The 20,508-nt window shown below is 46.4% G+C and overlaps 1 protein-coding gene across 3 annotated transcripts in view, besides 1 other annotated feature; it reads left to right on the top strand.

Annotated features, from left to right (window-relative positions):
• DGKG (diacylglycerol kinase gamma) overlaps positions 1 to 20,508 on the top strand; it is a 215,034-nt gene that overhangs the window by 80,378 nt on the left and 114,148 nt on the right. For 2 of the 3 annotated variants that reach the window (NM_001080744.2, NM_001346.3), the window contains exons 8-15: positions 1,113 to 1,187; positions 1,884 to 2,006; positions 6,193 to 6,310; positions 9,514 to 9,602; positions 12,940 to 13,056; positions 14,080 to 14,172; positions 16,551 to 16,610; positions 20,079 to 20,158. In NM_001080744.2, the coding sequence (NP_001074213.1) occupies positions 1,113 to 1,187; positions 1,884 to 2,006; positions 6,193 to 6,310; positions 9,514 to 9,602; positions 12,940 to 13,056; positions 14,080 to 14,172; positions 16,551 to 16,610; positions 20,079 to 20,158 (755 nt within the window). The remainder of the gene's footprint in view (positions 1 to 1,112; positions 1,188 to 1,883; positions 2,007 to 6,192; positions 6,311 to 9,513; positions 9,603 to 12,939; positions 13,057 to 14,079; positions 14,173 to 16,550; positions 16,611 to 20,078; positions 20,159 to 20,508) is intronic. The other variant, NM_001080745.2, reaches the window with a different exon arrangement.
• Positions 12,835 to 13,007: a silencer, noted in NCBI's record as "fragment chr3:185986639-185986811 (GRCh37/hg19 assembly coordinates)". NCBI's record gives its function as "represses an EF-1alpha promoter that drives an FKBP-Casp9 reporter gene in an ReSE screen in HepG2 liver carcinoma cells {active_cell/tissue: HepG2}" and the evidence as "EXISTENCE:reporter gene assay evidence [ECO:0000049][PMID:32094911]".

Below are 20,508 nucleotides of genomic sequence, written 5' to 3'. Positions count from 1 at the left end.
TTTTTAAATCTGCCAACTCTGCTTCTATTTTCATAGCCCAAGACTGAGTCCAATTCTTGGTTCCTGAAATACGTTTTCTCTTTAAATCTTGGACCCAACCAGAGATTCACAAGCTCTTTTCTTTTGGAACTTCTGCCAAAACCTTTCCCCACCTTTGTGCCCACTTTCTTACCCTCATCTACTGGCCTATCCTGTAGTTTTGCAATGGATTGTTTTTTAACTTAAATAAAATACAATTTTTTAAAATCCCTGCTGGGTTTTAGCTTGCTATTTGGACCCGGCATTCTATCTGGCAGAGGTAACACTTTTGAACCTTGCTTCAGTCTACCAACATGTCCTCCCAAAGCAATCTTACTGTGAACATCTTAACTGGTGCCTAAATGGTGCTAACTTTGACACCAAATGCCTCTTCAGTCTGGTGTGTTTCAGCGGGGCTCTCAGAACACTGACTCATTGGCAGCCAACAATTCTGTGAGGTTTTAGATGGAGCCTGGCCTCAGTACCAAAAGGCTCAGTCATCAAGTAAACATATTCCTCATGAGTTTCCTGTTCACGGACTCCTGGGGGCTGGGCTAAGGGCTGGACCATGGTAAAAAGGAAACAGAGGAGATAACAAAAGGAATCAAAATCATGGTACCTGAGCTGAGACACACACAGTAACCCTCCATGCAAGAGAAACTGGCCTCGAGCTGAGAGATGGATCCCAAGTTGCTACAGCTGTGGGGATGAGTGATAAGAAGTGACAGGAGAAATCTGCCTTGATTTGTAAGTATTTGTGGAAGCTATAATCACAAAGAGGGATAAAAATAGGAGTGCTTTCTATGCTTTCCAAGTTAAAGCACAGAATAAGGGAAGGAAGGTGGGTCCAGGAGGAAGTCAGTGTTTATGAGCTTTTTGCATACCTCCAGCTTATGCATGCTCTGTGCTTCTCGTGAGCTTTGTGGTCGAGACAGAAATAAACTGAGCTCCTCACAAAATGGCAGTTACTGCACCAGCTTCTTCTCTTGCCCTGCCCTGTCCCTCTTCCCACTGGGCTTAATTTTGAGTTCGGCTCTTAATGACACATCTCTGGTTGTCTCCTTTTGATATTTTCTCCCTTTGCTATTTTCTAGGAGATGGATTGCATTGTCAACCAAATGCTGCATATTGCCCAGTACCTGGAGTGGGATCCCACAGAGCTGAGGCCTGTGAGTTTCTATAAGGATGGGGTGGCTTTGGAGTGAGCTTCTAAGACGGGAGGGGGACACACTCAAGACATGAATGAGTGTTAACCCTGCAGGTGCTCCCAGACTCATCTTCTTATAGGCAGCTTCTTTGGAGTCCTGCACTTTACCTCCTACCTCTCTGATAGGAAAAATGTAGGCAGCAGGAAAACGTGCAGACATAACTGAAATAACCATGCTAATCTTTTCACCAGAACTAAAATGTTATAGCAGAAATTCATCAGTCAAAGAATTTAGAGAGAACTGTAGAGATTTCTATTAGAAAGAATTGTAGAGATCTTCCTCAATCACCAGATAATATGAATTATAAGAATAATTACATTTGGGGGCTCCTATGTGTCAGGTATTTTGTTATTCACTTTACATTCATTTTCTCTAATCCCTGCTACAGTGCCACAAACACAACAATATTATTTCCATTTTTACAGATAAGCAAACCAGAGCCCACAGAGTCAGGGTGACTGGCCCAAGGCCCAAGGGCAGAGCCAGACCTGGAAGCCTGGCCTCCTCACTCCCAGTCTGCTCTATTCACACTTAACAGGAGGGGAAAGGGGTAAAACACAAACCAGATAATGCAAGATGAACAAGACAGCAGAGGCAGAAGGCAGGTAGACATGTCGATGATGAAAATGGACAATGATTGCTCTTTGGATTCCACAGATATTGAAGGAGATGCTGCAAGGGATGGACTACGACCGGGACGGCTTTGTGTCTCTACAGGAATGGGTCCATGGAGGGATGACCACCATCCCATTGCTGGTCCTCCTGGGGATGGATGACTCTGTAAGTCAACAAGCTGGAGTTCAGAGATCTCTTGCCATTCAGGAACATTGGGCTTCATGTTAATATCAACATATCACTTTGGCTTCTGCTCCAGACTGCCCAACAGACGTGCCATGACCAGCCCCAAAGTCCTCTCTATTTACATTATTTTGTATCCATTAGTGCCTGAAGTATATTCATTTGACAGACATTTACTACATTATTACTACTTTAAAAATACTGTTCTGCATGCTGTGAGGGAATACAGACACATTATCTGCCTGCAAGAACCTTATACTCAACCAGGCAAAGGGCCACAAACTTCAAAGAAGAATTCTGTCTTTTCAACAAATTAGGTTTAAAAATGCTAAGAGAATTGGGGAAGGAAGGGTGAGAGGAAAGAACGAAGGGAGAGAGGAAAAAATACGGATCTGTTGTGGGGGTGGCTTCCATTAGTGGTATCTTATTTAATAATCAAAACAACCAGATAAGGTAAATATTTTTATCCCAATTTATACAGATGGAAAACTGAGGTTCTGACCCTAAGGAGCAAAAGGAGGAGTGAGGATTTGTCTCTGACACCAAAGATGTTGCACTTTGTAATATCCCACACATGAGAGTTAGGCCAGTGGGAAGAAACCTTGGAAGGTGTTGACTTGTCCCTGAAGAATGCATGAGATTTTGATGTCCCATTCTTGAGAATAAAGAGCAGGTGGCCTTAAAGACCTAGAGAGAGTTTATGGCTTGGAGAACAGCTTGATTAAAAACACAAATGAAAGAAAGTTCTGGGTGTGTTAGGCAAATCTCCCATTTGATCAGAGTAGGGCATATGTGTACAGGCTTAATGTGAAACTGATTGTTATATATACCTTCATCTGACCCAGTTACTGTATTCTCCACCTATTTACCAAGTGAACTCACTTCCATGCATGAGGTAGGGAAGACTAAAACTAGTAGGAGCACAAATGGTGACATTAAGCGTTTACTAGTCACACCAGTTGTGTGACAACACTACTTTGAGATTACAGATCTCAAAGATTACACCTCTTTGAGACTATTCCATAGAGAGGAACAGGGCAGCAAGTGCAGCTGGGTGAGCCTCTAGCTGACCAAGTTGCCTATAATATCTTCATTTCATAGCTCTGCAATTCAGGACTAAAGCTGAGCCCCCATTTCTGAAGCTCAAGAACTATGAATCTTGCAATCATTTCATAGCATGTCCAGTGCTTTCCAAGCTCTAAGGAGAAATCAAGGAACCAGGATCTACATGACCCCCTTCTTATTCCTTAGAACCCTAGAAAGTCAAGCTGGAAAAGATCTTTGTGGTCCCTGGTTGATCCCCTTTCTTTTACAAACTGAGACCCAGAGAAATGAAGGAACTTGCCCAAGGACATCCACCGAACTAGCACCAGAGATCATCCCCCTTACTCGCTCACATCACGCCTCTCACCCAATGATCCCTTGCCAAGAAGCTTTATGTACAAGAACCCATGTGATCCAGGAACTGGAAGGGCTCAGATAAGTTAGATATGCTTTCTGCTGACTTTACTCACTTAAGATTATACTCAAGACAAAATGGAAGTTCTGTTCCAAAACACCATTTTTTTTTTCTCATTTAGGGAATAAAGATGGGACATTTTAGTTACAGGGAATCAATTTCCATTTTCTGTTCTACTTTGGACTTGCTGAGGTTCAAAATACCACCAACTCTTTGCATGGAAAAGACCCGCTGTCTTGTGGCAGGAGGAAGGAGAGCCCATCTACTTCCTCAGCATTCTCCCAAATGTCTCCCCTAAATGCCAGATCAGCCTTGTAGAAAACTCTCATTTATATCAGGAAAGTGGCCAATGCAAGTTTAGTTTTATTAATCAAGAGTTTTATGCACTTATTTTTAAATATGTACTTTAAAAGTTTTTAACACTTACTATTTGGGGTTTTGGAGAAAGCCCCCATCAATGTCTTAAAAGTCCATTGCTTCTTGGGCTTTTTCAAAACCCACATACAACCACTGAAAAGTCTGGGGAATCACTGAATGAGATATTTGCAAAACAGACTCTCTCCCAGGAAAATCGTAGCAGCAGCATAAAACCTGGTGAGCACGAGGAAGGCTACGCCCACGTTCTGCAGCCACCATCATGTGGAAAGGAAAGAGCCACATGATGGTGCTATAACCCAAGCAGAAACGTTACTTTATCCCAAGTCACGGTCCATGCACTTCTTATATCCATAAAAATAGTAGCTGAGAAAGGGGGATGAGCTAACTGACTTAGCTACTAGAGGTGTTTTCAGATACACTGACAATCCTTTGGGCTCCACGAAGAAGTCTGCTGAAGAGTGCTATCATTTTCCTTCTACCCATACAGGAAAACCCTGGCTTGTGAGGTAGAGGAGCAGGATGGAAAGAGCATGGGCTCTGGCCAGCAAAAGACCCAAGTCTGACTACTCATTCAGTCCCTCATTATCTATGTGGGCTTGGGCTAGTTACCGAACTTCTCCAAATCTCTGTTTCTCATTTCTAGAATGGGAACAAATCTACCTCCTTCCACGTCAACAAACACTTTTTAGTTTATTTTGTGTCTTCCGGCATCTGGAATGGAATAAGAATTTAATGAAAGTTTGAATTTACAATATGTCAGGCATTGAACTAGAAGCTTTACTTACATGATGTCATTTAATTCTTACAAAAAGCCCTTGAGGTAGATGTTGGTCAAACGAATAAATGAATGAATCAATCTTTTGATGAATCATTATCAGTTTGTGAATGCATTTACTAAAGTGGAGACCGTTAGATAAGAGGGTTTTAATTCTATAAAACTCATGTCCTGGAAGAAGCAGGGTTTGAGGTAATGAGAAGAAAATAGCTTCTCTGGCCCAGAGGAGAAAGCCAGCATTTGGAAAAGAATGTGAGCTCCTCTGGAGATCATAAAAGAAGCCTGGGCACAGGCTGAGGTCTGGTTGCAGTGACCAGCCCAAATGCATACGCACCCCAGAAGTAAGAATTACATTTGAGTCCCGCATATTGGACACTACATCCATGACCATCGATCCTCATCACCTTACCGTAGCTTTTACTGATCATGAAACCAGCCCAAGAGTGTTACTCTTGTAATGGAGCCTATGAGAAAAGTTCAGGGATAGCACATGCAGGAGGGACATTCCTCAAGCTGTGCTGTGTTCCCCTGGGATGGGATGTGGGAGATGTGGGTGTCACTGTGTGAGGCTTGGTGTACCTAGTAGATGCAGATGATTTCACTTCTGAACAAAGTCAGGAGGTGATGGTCTAACCCTTTCTCTGTCTGTCTTTTCACTATTTTTTCTGCGTACCGAAAGTTGATAGGAGAAATACATTGTTTTTACTAAACTCTTTCATCTTGATTATCACACTAGTACATGCACACTGTAAAACATTTGGAACACACAGCAGAAAGTAGAAATCAGAGAATACAATAAATCCATATTGCTGCCAGCTATAGCCAACCTCTGTTAACAGGTTAATGAAATTACTTCCCATCAAAGATCTATTATATAAAACTGAAATCATAACATATCATCGAAATGGCATTCTGTTTTTTCGCTTAACATTGTATCATGAGCACATTCCCATGCCATTAGATAGTCTTATAAATATCTTTTTGATTGCCACCTAACATTACATCAGACGGATGTACTATCATTAGCCTTTTGGTAATTATGAGACCTTTAGGATATTTCCAGCTTTTCATTATTTTAAATAATGCTGGGTTAAGCATCTGGCAGGGCACAAAAAGGCTCATCTGCCTTTTAAAAATTATTTATTTAGGATAAAGTCGAAAAGGAGATATTGGTAAGTCAAAGGTTGTAAACATTTAAAGGAGATAGATAGATAGATGATAGATAATAGATAGATAGATAGATAGATAGATAGATAGATAGATAGATAGATAGATCAGATTGTTGTTCAGTTTATGCTTCTGCCAGCCATGCGGGAGAGGATTTATTTTATCCCACACACACATGCTTCCATTCAGATGTTTCTTGCTTTTAATATTTGCTAATTTTTAAAACACACACACAAAAATTTTGTTTTTATTTGTATTTAAAACAGTAAAAAATATCAATAACTCATCTTCTAAATGAGATGAAAAGGAAGAACATGCAAGAGGCAGCCCCTGGCTTCCTCCATCTCAGGGCAGCCAGCTTGGGGTCTCACCTCCTATTACCCCTGCAGGGCTCCAAGGGGGATGGGCGGCACGCCTGGACCATGAAGCACTTCAAGAAACCAACCTACTGCAACTTCTGCCATATCATGCTCATGGGCGTCCGCAAGCAAGGCCTGTGCTGCACTTGTGAGTAAATTTCCTTCAAACCTCTTCCCCCAGGCACTATCTTGCTCTGCGCATGGTTGGTTGATCCATTGCAGAGAAAATGTTGGTATTTCTGCTTCCCAGCTTGAGGGACCACCCATATTGTCCCAACAGAAGGAATAAAGCGAGGCCTTCATGTCCTGTTTTTACCCTACCCAAGTCCAATGGACAGGTCTTGGACTATTTATTATTGGAGGCTTTTTATGAGCCACTGACCCCCTAGAAGAAATTATTAAAGTCCACAAATAATTTAAAATTTCTCATACTACTTTTAGTTGGGTTTTCTAGTCAATATTTATTCTGGGTATGTTCAGAGGAAACTTATTTTTTAAAAATTAATAAGCATTTGGGGCCAAGTACGGTGGCTCACACCTGAAATCCCAGCACTTTGGGAGGCAGAAGCAGGTGGATTGCTTGAGGCCTGTAGTTTAAGACCGGCCCTGCCAACATGGAGAAACCTTGTCCCTACTAAAAATACTAAGGTGCTGGAAAGGATGTGGAGAAATAGGAACACTTTTACACTGTTGGTGGGACTGTAAACTAGTTCAACCATTGTGGAAGACAGTGTGGCGATTCCTCAAGGATCTAGAACTAGAAATACCATTTGACCCAGCCATCCCATTACTGGGCATATACCCAAAGGATTATAAATCATGCTGCTATAAAGACACATGCACACGTATGTTTATTGTGGCACTATTCACAACAGCAAAGACTTAGAACCAACCCAAATGTCCATCAATGATAGATTGGATTAAGAAAATGTGGCACATATATACCATAGAATACTATGCAGCCATAAAAAAGGATGAGTTCACGTCCTTTGTAGGGACATGGATGAAGCTGGAAACCATCATTCTGAGCAAACTATCGCAAGATCATAAAACCAAACACCGCATGTTCTCACTCATAGGTGGGAATTGGACAATGAGAACACTTGGACACAGAGTGGGGAACATCACACACTGGGGCCTGTCGTGGGGTGGGGGGAGGGGGGAGGGATAGCATTAGGAGATATACCTAATGTAAATGATGAGTTAATGGGTGTAGCACACCAACATGGCATATGTATACACATGTAACAAACCTGCACATTGTGCACATGTACCCTAGAACTTAATGTATAATAAAAAATAAAAATAAAAAAATAAAAAATAAAAATACTAAAAAAAAATTAGCTGGGCATGGTGGCATGCGCCTGTAATCCCAGCTACTCAGGAGGCTGAGGTGGGAGGATCACTCGAGCCCAGGAGGCAGAGGTTGCGGTGAGCTGAGATTGCACCACTGCACTCCAGCTTGGATGACGGAGTGAAACCCTGTCTCAAAAACAAAAAACAAACAAACAAAAAAAGCATTTTACATTCTGTAAAGGCAATAGGAATTAAAACTCTACAGTTGTTTCACTTTTTAATTCCTTTAGTAAAGTCAGAGTGGAAAGGTGGAAAAAACTACAAGTGGTAGAGGAAAAAGCAGAGAGGAAGACTGGAAAGGGAGACAGCAAAAAGAGATGGGGGAAAAGAGTGATAAGGAGTAGGAAAGAAGGGGACACAGGGAGCAGGAGGAGAAGGCAGAGGGGCTGCAGCAAGAAGGCATGGCAGGCACCAGAATATGTGGGTGCACAGAGCCCTGCCGCCCGCCCCGTGATGTGGACAGCAACACTCAGCCTGAACCCACCAGACACCGGGGAGCTGCTGCTGCAGGGAGGCCCGCTGGCTGTGCTCCAGGCTGAAGTGCTTTATCCAACATGCACGTGTGAATTAGGCAGCAAGTGACCTCAGCCACAGAAGTCGCCTTGGCAGAGCTGGGCCCGCTGTCCACAAAGACCAAGCATCAACGGGCTAAAGAAGGGGTCCGCCAGGCCTGGCGCGGTGATTCACGCCGTAATCCCAGCACTTTGGGAGGCCAAGACGGGTGGATCACGAGGTCAGGAGACCAAGATCATCTTGGCCAACATGGTGAAACCCCGTCCCTACTAAAAATACAAAAATTAGCTGGGCATGGTGGCGCATGCTTGTAATCCCAGCTACTCGGGAGGCTGAGGCAGGAAAATCACTTGAACCAGGGAGTCGGAGGTTGCGGTGAGCCGAGATTGCATCACTGCACTCCAGCCTGGTGAAAGGGTGAGATTCTATCTCAAAAAAAAAAAAAAAAAAAAAAAAAAGGGGTACAACAGTCTCCCCAGCGCCAGTTCAAACCCAGCTCTTACCCACATTTTATAGATCAATCTCATTCCCATTAAGTTCTAGGCCCGTGGGCCTCTGCTGTTCACATAATGGTAGTAAAAACAACAGCAATAATGTGTGGAATAGCTACTCTGACCCAGACACGTGATGCTTTACACAAACTATCTCATGTACTACTGCAACAATCCCTGCAAAGAGAAAGAGAAAGAGAGGCCGTTTTCTTCCCTTTTTACAGAAAACCCTGAATTTCAGAGAGGTAAAACAATTTACCCAAGGTCATGTGGATTGTCACGGGGGCCTGCCTAGCCTTCAAAAGCCCTGACCTTGGCCAGGTGCGGTGGCTTACACCAGCACTTAGGGAGGCTGAGGCGGGTGGGTCACCTGAGGTCAGGAGTTCGAGACCAGCCTGGCTAACATGGTGAAACCCCATTTCTACTAAAAATACAAAAAATTAGCCGGGCGTGGTGGTGCACGCCTGTAACGCCTGTAATCCCAGCAACTCGGGAGGCTGAGGCAGGAGAATCGCTTGAACCCGGGAGGCGGAGGTTGCAGTGAGCCGAGATCACACCATTGCACTCCAGCTTGGGCAACAAGAGCGAAACACCATCTCAAAACAAAAAAAAGCCCTGGCCTTTCTATTCATTTTCCAATGTCCCGGGCATGCAATACAGTGGCACTGGCATAGCCAGGAGGATGATGCCGCACACTCCCCTTCAGGAAAAAGCGCCTTTCTGGGGATGTGCTCCTGCTGTGTTCATTGCCTGCAGAGGAAGGCAGTGAAGCAGGTGGAGGTGCAGCCGCAGCAGATAAGCAGGGTCTCTGTCCTCCAAGAACAATTAGAGACTGTTTTGAATTTCCGTTAGGCAAGACCAGCCCCATGTGTCCCCTGCCCCTCGCCAGCCACCCAAAGGGAGGTACAGACCTTGGCTAGGGTGGGAGGGCAGCTGGGCCTTTCCTACGTGGCTATTCACAAGCACCTGCCTTGACTTTTTTTCTTTTCAGACTGTAAATACACTGTCCACGAACGCTGTGTGTCCAGAAACATTCCTGGTTGTGTCAAAACGTACTCAAAAGCCAAAAGGAGTGGTGAGGTTGGTGACATCTACTGCCTTGTTCTACTGCATGCCTCATCCAGGAAACATGTCCATCAACATGGATTCCTGGGCAGGAAGGGGCACTGGGAGCTTCATCCAGTCCCTTCTCTGCCTTGAGGACCACCTGTAAACCATCCCGTTCATCCATCCATCCATTCAGCACCTTCCTGGTACCCACTATGTGCCAGGCACCATGCTAGGGGGTACACAGGTTGTAAGAGACGCTCCCCAGCCTGCTCAAGAACTATGCTGTCTAGAAGGAGAGACGGGCATGTAAGCAAAGAACAGAATAGTGAGATGTGTGCTACAGTAACACAGCTGTGTGGAAGGTACAGTGGAAGCACGGGGCAAGTTGCACAAAGGAGCTGGCATTGCAGTTGTGTCTTGAACACAAATTGGGAGGACTTCATGAGGCATCGAGGAGGACCAGACTCTCCAGGCAGAGGAAGCCTCATGTGTAAAGGCATGAGACACGGCTTATTCCGGGATTCATACTTAGTTTGGCATAGCTGGGGCAGAGGATGCTTAAAGGGAAGTGGCAGGAGATGCACTCAGAAAGTGGTGAGATCTGGCCTGAAGCAGGTCTTATGAGGCCAGCTGAGTGAGAAAGGTGTTTTCTGTGCAGCCGGGGGCCACTGAAGAGCTTCAAGCACATAAAGATGTGATCGAATTTGTGAATTAGGTTAATAGCTCTGAGTGTGATGTGGGAGAGAAATCAGGGGAGGGAAACTCTTCCAATACTTGAGGTAAAAGGCAGTACTGCGCTGAGGGCCCGACTGGGGTGGGATCCACACTCACTGCTCTAGGATGGTCCTGTGCTGAGGGTCCCCCAGGCCATGCTGGTTATTGGGTATTTTGACTGTCACACTGGCTAAAGGAGAGAAAATGAAGGGAGAGCTTGAGAGGTAATTTGGAAGTACCACCACTAGGACCAGGACATGGTGATGGGGATGCGGAGGATGAGAGAAGGGAAAAGGTAGGGAATGGCTCCCAGGTTTCTAACTCGGTCATTGGGTGACGCCATTCTCCAAGTCTGGAAATAGACTTACCTTAAAATTAGCAGGGGAAGGGCACTTAGCCTTCCTGAAAAGGGAAGATTACATGGAGGAGTGTGAGTCAGGAGACAGTTAGCCATGAGAGTGGTACCCAGCCCTCCTGCAGAAGGACTCCTGGTAGAGAAAGGCACCTCCTAGAATTTGTGTGCATGCCCCATGGACACTGCATGGTCTCTCGTCCACGCCTTCTGCACCACCCCATGCACACCCTGCTCCATGTCCATGCCTTTCACCGGGACACACGGTGTACCTGCTGGACGCAGGCCCTAAGCCTGCACTCTGGCCACCTGTCACACAGAGAACAGAGTGAGGCCAATGAGGGGCCAGCAGGGCACACTCACAAACTTCTCAGCCTGCAGGAGCAACCCAGTCTTTCACCATCTCCTCAGATCCCAAAGAGAATGGGTAAGGCGATGTGGTGTTGGGGAAACAGCCCTGGACTTGGGGTCAGAAGACCTGGCTAGGAAACCCTACTTGGCCGCTTACCAGCCTTGGAACCTAGGGCCAGTCACTTAACCTCTCTGAAACTTTCATTTTTTCCTCTGCAAAATGGAAATAATAATCTCAGAGCAAATTCAATTGTGGCCATGTAGATGACAGATTAATTGGCAAACTGAGTTCTTTACACCCTCAGAAGTGCAAGGCACAAGGTGATAAGCTACCAACCAAACGTGACACATCTTCCAAAGCAATAATTTTGCCAAAAACATTCTTAGGGGAGGCCTTAAGCAACTTAATTGCTAAGTAATTTAAAACATTTATTCTTGGACCAAGTGCAGTCACTCACACCTGTAATCCCAGAACTTTAGGAGGCTGACAAGGGCCAATAGCTTGAGCCCAGGAGTTTGAGACCAGCCGGGGCAACATGGTGAGATCCTGTCTTTACAAAAAGAAGATACAAAAATTAGCCTGGTGTGGTGGCATGTGCCTGTAGTCCCAGCTACTTGGGTGGCTGGGCTGGGAGGATTGCTTGAACCTGGAGGATCGAGGCTGCAGTGAGTTGTGATCATGCCACTGCACTCCAGCCTGGGCGACAGAGTGAGACTGTCTCAAAAAAAACACGTTTATTCTTATTTAATACAAACCTGGACAGAATCACGCAGATATTTCCTGGGTTTTTAATACCGTGCTTGTGGCTAGGCACTTCAGGGTATGTCCCCCACCTTCTCCCAGAGTCCATATCCACTTCCTTCTGTTATTTGTGGTACCATAGTGAAAATTTTTGAGTGAGAATTTTGGTGAGAATTCCAGGGGGAGGGAACTGAGGGTTCAGCCTCCCAGACAGTGGGGCTACTAGCCAGCTGCTCTTGCTTTAGCCGCACTGACACACACATACAAAAACAATCCCACTATTCCCACCTGTTTCCAAGTGCCTAGCCTGCCCTGGTGGTCTTTCCTGGTCACGGAGCAGATACAACCAGCTCCCCAGGAAACAGGTGTGAAAAGCACCAATGGACCCTCACTAACTTCTTTGGACTTTTCTCTAACTTCCTTCTAGAGTGCTTTTTAGTCTCGGCTTCACGTTATAATTACCCAGAGTGCTTTAAAACATATTAATCATGTGCCCCACCCTCAAAGACTCTAATTTATTTGGTCTGGAGTGTCGGCTGGGCATTAGGATGTCTAAAAGCTCCCCCAGGTACTTCTAATGGGCAGCTAAAGCTGAGGAAGGAGAAGGGCATTACCCAATTGTGGGTACTCCCAAAGGGCCAGGACTGCACCAGGGAGGCCCTTCAAAATGTGCTATCTCATTGCATTGCCCCAGTAACCCCAGAGGTGGGACTTCTTATACCAATTCCCACAGGTCAGGGACCTGAGACTCAGAGAGGTCTAAGAACTGGCCAAAGGCCACCACTTCAAAGGGACTCCAGCCAGTTTTGTCTGTGGCCTACCCAAGCCCTCCAGAGTTCCTCTGCACCATGCTGCCTTCCAGAAGAGGGCGCATACAAACACATCACTCTGCAAGGCGTTCTGCAAGACAAACAGATGGACTGCCAGACAAGATGCTGCTCAGAGGCCTGCCTTCCAGGGCGATTGAGCTGTTCAAAATGTGGCAAAGCGAGCTTTTAATCTACTTTGATTCGCATAATGGCGGTTAGGCAGGGAGGAACCACATCGTGCCATTAGGCAAGCCACCCAACATCCAATAAGCATCCTCTAAATAGGAAACAGTCCCTCTGGCTCCCCCGCGTCCCCTCCCAGATCCTTCTCCTCCAGCCCAGGGCCCCGGGGACATGGTTCTGCCATTTTCCCTGGCATCGTTCGCTTCCCTCCCGCAGGTGATGCAGCACGCATGGGTGGAAGGGAACTCCTCCGTCAAGTGTGACCGGTGCCACAAAAGTATCAAGTGCTACCAGAGTGTCACCGCGCGGCACTGCGTGTGGTGCCGGATGACGGTGGGTTGGCGCCCAGGGCGGCCCTGCTTCTTTTCAACGTTTTTTTGCCCAAGCTGCAGCCCAGGAGCAGTGAATATCCGGCCAGAGGGCATGAGCAAAGCCAGGGGAGCGAGGCTAGGAGGACCCCACAGCGCCTATTCAATGCCCTCAGCCTAACGATGCTCCAGTGAATTACCAAGCTGCCCAGAGAGAGGGCACCCCCGAACCAGGGGAGTGAGGACTGCTGAAGAAGAAGCTGGCCAGTCCACTGTCTGTGTGGCCTGGCAGCTGGGATCAGCAGCCCCGACTATGAACTTCTTTTACCTGGCTATCACCTAGGGCCGGGGACACTGACAGAGTGGGAGAAAAATTGGACAACAGGAGCATCATAGGAGGGGGTGCCTGCCCTGAAGGCACATTCCTCAGAGCAGCCCCACTGCCTGGGCCAAAGGTTTGGACCTGCTGCCACCAGCCACAGCACATGCTAGAGTCCACAGCCCCACTAGACACCCAGAATGCCACTGGCAGCCACTGAGCTGGCCAACCTGCCTGTCAAAACTCACTGCCAGCTCTTGTCCTTCTCCCCAGGTATCAGCCTCAAAATGTAGGTTTCTCCAAACCAGACTGCAGAACTCTCAAAATACAAAGGTTGAATCACAAGGTTTACTCTCAGCCATCCATGAGTTTGTTCATCAACATCTCCCTCCTCCCAGAGTCTCAGGGCCTGGAGAGCACATATCTAAGGGGGCTCTGGAATCAACATGGGGTGCCACACTGAAGGGTCACAGGCCGGCTCATGACTGTGTCGCTTCAGTAGCCATGAGCGGCTCTTGGCCTCTTTGCTCAGCCCACAGCAGACTTTGCACCCTTAACCACACACACACACGTGCACACACACACACACGGCAATACTGTCAAAGCCAGCAGTGCATCAGGATTTGGGGGAGCACTAGACAGCTCACCTCTCCCCCAAACCTCTCCACCTTCATGTTTGATGTTTCTTTGCTCACTTTCACTCACTCTCTTTTTCATTTCTCCCCCCAGTTTCACCGCAAATGTGAATTATCAACGTTGTGTGACGGTGGGGAACTCAGAGACCACATCTTACTGCCCACCTCCATATGCCCCATCACCCGGGTAAGTGCTCCTGCCCCGGCGAGGGCTGTAGCTTCTCCGGGTTCTGGTTTCAGATGTAGGCAGCTTTCAGACATTCACATCCTTCCCAGGGCTTCCCTGACAACTCTTTGGGTTTGTGTTTTCTTTTCTTTCTTTTTTTACTGTTATTTTAGGTTAGAGAGTACATGGGAGGGTTTGTTACACAGGCAGACACGTCTTGCGGGAGTTTGTTGTGCAGATTATCTTATCACCTGGGTTTTTAGCCCAGTGCCCAGTTGTTAATCTTTTCTGCTCCTCTCTGTTGGGTTTGTGCTTTCAGTATGTGCTTGAAAGAGGTCAGCGCTGCACAGATCAGATTTTGAGAGAAATCTTCTCTGACTAAACTGTTGCCAATTGCTGACCACCCCGAGTACCCTGAAATGACCCAGCAAGGAAAGCACATTTGTTCTAAGCCTTTTGCAGGCAGAGCACAGCACAAGGAACCTCAGTCACCACCTATGCATGGCCAGGCTCCCAACCTCCCTCATCTCTGTCAATCTCCCTGCCACATCCAAACAGTATCTCCCTCTACTTCCTGAGTTTCCACTTGGATGTCTCAGCCTGATTTGGAAATGAAAGCAGCAAAATTAAGCTCCTTTACCCCCACCTGGCACGTTGTCGCCTGTGTTGAAGACTCCTCTTTCAAACAAGCGTCAAACACTTAATTTTGCCATCTTCCCATCTTAAAAATGTTGCAAGTCCCACCCATTCCTCACATCTCACTCTGGACTTGACCAGCTACTTCTTTGTCATTAAAAACCTGAGAAAAAGGCCAGCCACGGTGGCTCATGCCTGTAATCCCGGCACTTTGGGAGGCTGAGGCAGGCGGATCACCTGAGGTCAGGAGTTTTAGATCAGCCTGGCCACATGGTGAAACCCCATCTCTACTAAAAATACAAAAATTAGCCAGGCGTGGTAGTGGGCACCTGTAATCCCAGCTACTGGGGAGGCTGAGGCAGGAGAATTGCTTGAACCTGGGAGGTGGAGGTTGCAGTGAGCCAAGATCACACCACTGCACTCCAGCCTGGGTGACAGAGTGAGACTCTGTCTCAAAAATAAAAATAAAAAACCCTGAAAAATACCAACACATTGGAAAATCATTTAGCAATATTTACTGTATTGGAAATATACAAACTCCATAACTCAAAAATTCTCCTCCAGTGCATCTACCTGGAAAATACAAGCATTTATTCCACCAAAAGACATGCACAAGAATGCTCATAGCAGCTTTATTCATAACAGTTAAAAACTGGAAACAAGTTAAATGACCATTAACAGGAGAATAGATGAATAAATTGAGGCATATCGGCATCTGGCATTCATAGAATGGGAAACTACATTGCAATGGAAAAGAACAAACTATGCATAGAGTAAAAACATGGAGAATCTCAAAAACATAATGCTGAACCAAAGAAGCTAGACTCGAAAAGATATGCTCTATGAATCCATTATATGAAATTCAAAAGCCAGGCAAAACCCATGTGGTATCAGGAGTCACAACAGGGTTATGCTTGAAGAGGTAGTAGTTACGAGGCCATCCCCATATACAAAATTCATCAAGCTGTACAATTTAGATTTGAGCATTTTACTATATGTGAGAAAACCTTAATAAAATAAACATTAGAAAAACAAACAAAACCAAGAAAAATGACAATATCATATCATTAGATAGTGCTCAGCCGAAAAGCCAAGTCGACGGCCAGGCGCAGTGGCTTACACCTGTAATCCCAGCACTTTGGGAGGCTGAGGCCAGCGGATCACGAGGTCAAGGGATCGAGACCATCCTGGCCAACATGGTGAAACCCCATCTCTACTAAAAATACAAGAAAATTAGCAATTAGCTGGGCGTGGTGGCACGCACCTGTAGTCCCAGCTACTAAGGAGGCCGAGACAGGAGAATCACTTGAACCCAGGAGGCGGAGCTTGCAGTGAGCCGAGATCACACCACTGCACTCCAGCCTGGCAATAGAGCGAGACTCCGTCTCAAAAAAAAAAAAAAAAAAAAAAAAGAAAGGAAGAAAAGCCAAGTCGCCAAGTCTAAGAATTTTCTTCTCAGAGCTCAAGCTTCTAAATCAACCAAGTGGAATTCTGCCACTTTCAGTGCTCCCCACTATGTCCCTTGCCTCAAAGGTAAAGTCAGCCCGTGATGTCATCACTGGAGGCCTGAAGAATCCTAGAAAAAGTCATAGGGGTACATTTCTTTATTTAGGTCAGAAGCCCTATGTTGAAAACCTCGTCTCCATACTACACTAGCTTTCTGATCTCTTTCTTTATATCAGCCGTTTGTTTTTCATCTGATCTCTTTCTTTGTGTTAGGCTTCTTTTTCCAAAAGATGCTTGTCTTTCCTTTCTTGTCACAGGACAGGCCAGGTGAGAAGTCTGATGGCTGCGTGTCCGCCAAGGGCGAACTTGTCATGCAGGTACCTCATGAGCTCTAAATCCGATTGCACCTTCTAAGTTGTTCCAGGGCTGTGGCGGGCAAGACGGGGTTTGGGTTCTACAGAAAAGCATCTCAGCATTTGCCTTCTCATCTGACTAATTATACCACCCAGGAGGGCATTTATTTGTGGCCTCTGGTGTTACCTTTGACAGCCACACTGTCAGCAAGTGGTGAGAGGAAAGGTTGACTGATCCCATTGCTGGTCTTATTGGGCTTTATTACTATTTTAGGAAAAAGTTACATAAAACTTTAATATGCAGATGTCCTAAATAATAACAAAGATGTGGCCTAAAAATAGACAATGGGTTTTTCAAGATTGCCAAGCTGTCTCCAGAACATGATCTGCCAAAATGAAGCTAACCAGATCTAAAAGTTCTTCTTAATCCTTAAATGTATACTTAAGAACTCATTTTTTTTACTTGGGTTCAGCAATGAACATTTTTTGTGTCTTCCACAGAGTTCCAAGGAATGCAGGGAAGGCAGCCTGGTGAGGAACAAAGAGTACTAGAAAAGGAAATAGAAAACCGGGGCCTCCTGCTCTGCCTCTGAGCCTTAAGTTTCCTCCGCTCAAAGGAGACACAGTAATCCCTGCCCTGCCCACCTCCCAGAGGTGCTGTAAGATTAAATGAGAATATACAGATTCACGTGTTGTGAAAAGTAAAAGGCCGGGCGCAGTGGCTCACGCCTGTCATCGCAGCAGTTTGGGATGCTGAGGCGGGCAAATCGCCTAAGGTCAGAAGTTCGAGACCAGACTGGCCAACATGGTGAAACCCCATCTCTACTAAAAATACAAAAATTAGCCGGGCGTGGTGGGAGGTGCCTGTAATCCCAGCTACTCGGGAGGCTGAGGCAGGAGAATCGCTTGAACCTGGGAGGTGGAGGTTGCAGTGAGCCGAGATTCTGCCACTGCACTCCAGCCTGGGCAACAGAGGGAGATTATGTCTCAAAAGAAAAAAAAGAAAAAGAAAAGTGAAACATAAGGCCGAATGAGGGGAGAATCTTAATATGTGAGAAAGCTCTAGACACCTAGAAGGGCAGAAAGGTGGGAAACACACACAGGCGCATGCATATCCACACCCGATACATGTATGCCAGTTGTTTAGGGCAGGCAGCCATCGGGTTGTCTTGCATCTGTTCTGATGGGGCAGAGCCCCCACTGTAGGACTGGCTGTTAAATACGTTGAATATCATCTCCAGAGGTGAGGGTTTATTCCTCAGCCTCCAAGATGCTTCTGGGCATCACATAGTCACCCTGGGCAGGTGAGACAAATTTTTTAGATCATCGGAAATGCTACTATCCTTTTCAAACAACATGGCACTGTGTTTGCTGGACTTTTAGCTTGAGATCTGGAAAAGCAGGCATTAGATATTGAATATGGAGCAGAGCTGTGCGTCCACATTGGTGTATCCTTCCACTGAACCCACAAGTATTTGCTGAGCACCCACTCTTGTGTCTGGTGCTATAGGGTCCTTGGTAGTAGGGTTACACACACCCCACTCTGCTCCCAATGCATTTTAAATCCAGTTGATGTTTTGAGTCATTTATCTAAGAAAGTAAAAAAAAAAAAAAATACAAATGAACAACAAAAGAAACTCCAGAAGATAGTACATGGTGCGTTTGTTTGCTTGCTTGCTTGCTTGCTTGCTTGCTTGTTTTTTGAGATGGGGTTTCGCTCTTGTCTCCCAGGCTGGAGTGCAATGGTGCGATCTCAGCTCACTGCAACCTTTGCCTCCCGGGTTCAAGCGATTCTCCTGCCTCAGCCTCCCAAGTAGCTGGGATTACAGGCATGCGCCACTACACCCGGCTAATTTTTGTATTTTTAGTAGAGATGGGGTTTCACCATATTGGCCAGGCTGGTCTCGAACTCCTGACCTCAGGTGATCCGCCTGCCTCAGCCTCCCAAAGTGCTAGGATTACAGGCATGAGCCACCATGCCCAGCCAATAGTACATGTTTTAAGTGCAATCATTTTAGTTGCAATGATGAAGGGAAACTTCATAGAGATGTCTCTTGAATTGAGCCCTGAGGATAAGCAGGTTTTTGTTGGTGGTGGTGGTGGTGTTTTTTGTTTGTTTGTTTGTTTGTTTGTTTTTCTTTTCCGAGACGGAGTCTTGCTCTGTCGCCCAGGCTGGAGTGCGGTGGCGAGATCTCAGCTCACTGCAACCTCCACCTCCCAGGTTCAAGCGATTCTCCTGCCTCAGCCTCCCGAGTAGCTGGGATTACAGGCACCTCCCACCACGCCCGGCTAATTTTTGTATTTTTAGTAGAGACGGGGTTTCATCATGTTGGCCAGGCTGGTCTCGAACTTCTGACCTTGTGATGCTCCTGCCCCGGCCTCCCAAAGTGTTGGGATTATAGGCGTGAGTGATCATGCCCAGCCAAAAATTTTTTTAGTAGTCTGCAAAGAAGGAAGTGGGCATTTCGGGACATGGAATGGGAGAAGAAACAAGCACGAGCAGACCCATGGGTGGGAATGCAAGAGACACACTCTAGACTTACTAGAGGAGCAAGAGCAGGACTTGGCTGCACCTGCAGCTGAGGGTTAGCAGGAATTAGGAGATAACAGTAGAATAGGGCTAGACTGAAAAGGCCTTTGATGCCAGGTTAGGAAATTTACATTTTATCCACAAAATCCAAATCCTCCTTTAATAATGAGATGTCTTTACAAGTTTTTGGGCAAGAGTGGTATGGCTGACCTGGTGTCCTGGGAAGGAACTGTGTGGGGATGGTGTGCAGGACTTACCTAGGGTGGGAAAGGCACAAGCAGCATGGGGCTGTGGCAGCTACCAGAGGTAAAGGGACATTTCAGGGAAAGACTTGGCAGGACAAGACCTTCCTTGGATGGATGGATGAATAACAGAAACAGGGAACCAAGAGAAAGGCCGAGTTTCATAGGGAGAGAAGATGGGTCATGTATGAGGCATGTTGAGCTTGTACTGATGGTGAGACGTCCAGTCGACAGTACTACCCACTGGCCAGTGAGAAATGTGGGACCAGGGTTCAGGAGGAAACTGGGGCCGGAAATGAGCATTTGGAAGGCGCCAGGGTGGAAGCGGGTGGTTCACTCCACGAGTGCTATTTCACTTACGCGTATGATCAGACGGCCGTGCTTTCTAAGATCATATTCAGCTGTGTCTCCCACAAAATTTCATCTTGTGCTGTAGGTACAAGACCACGTCATCGTTGAATGATTTGAAGCTACAGCATCATTGTCCCATCGCTGATCCTGACCTCAAACCCTCATTTCCGTTAACACTACTTAAAGGCCATTCAAACTGGAGACACTTAGCTACTTAGCCCCTCCGAAAATTCAGCCAGTGGAAAAACACCTGACTGCCTGCCCTCCTGCTTCTCATCTGCCTCTCCGAAGCTGTCTTGGCTTCAACTCTCATCTCACGCCCCCTATTGGATGAAGCAGAGCTAATTTCTTTTTCTTTTACCTTTCAAGTATAAGATCATCCCCACCCCGGGTACCCACCCCCTGCTGGTCTTGGTGAACCCCAAGAGTGGAGGGAGACAAGGAGAAAGGTACGTTCTCTTCTGTTTCAAAGTGGAGCAACTAGGGCGACACGACTCAGGCCCTTCCTCCCCTTGGCAGGAACACAGCAGGCTGTGGAGACAGGCAGACTCAAATCCCAGCACTGCCACCTGCCACTTTATGACCTGGCCCAAGTGACTTAATGTCCCCGGGCCTCGGTTTCTCCCTCTGTAAAATGGAGATAATTATCATTCCTCCTCTCACAGGTGAGAACAGACACGGTGCTTAGCCCACAGCCTGCCACGTGAGCCATTATTAAGACCACTAGAGTTAGACCACGCTCTGAGATGCCTGTGCCTTTCTAGCCTCTCAGATCTCTTGATTTAAGAGATGATGGGCA

Source organism: Homo sapiens, chromosome 3 (assembly GCF_000001405.40).
Source record: "Homo sapiens chromosome 3, GRCh38.p14 Primary Assembly".
Classification (NCBI taxonomy): Eukaryota; Metazoa; Chordata; class Mammalia; order Primates; family Hominidae; genus Homo; species Homo sapiens.
Note: the sequence above shows the minus strand (reverse complement) of the source record. Positions and strands in the feature narration are given on the sequence as shown.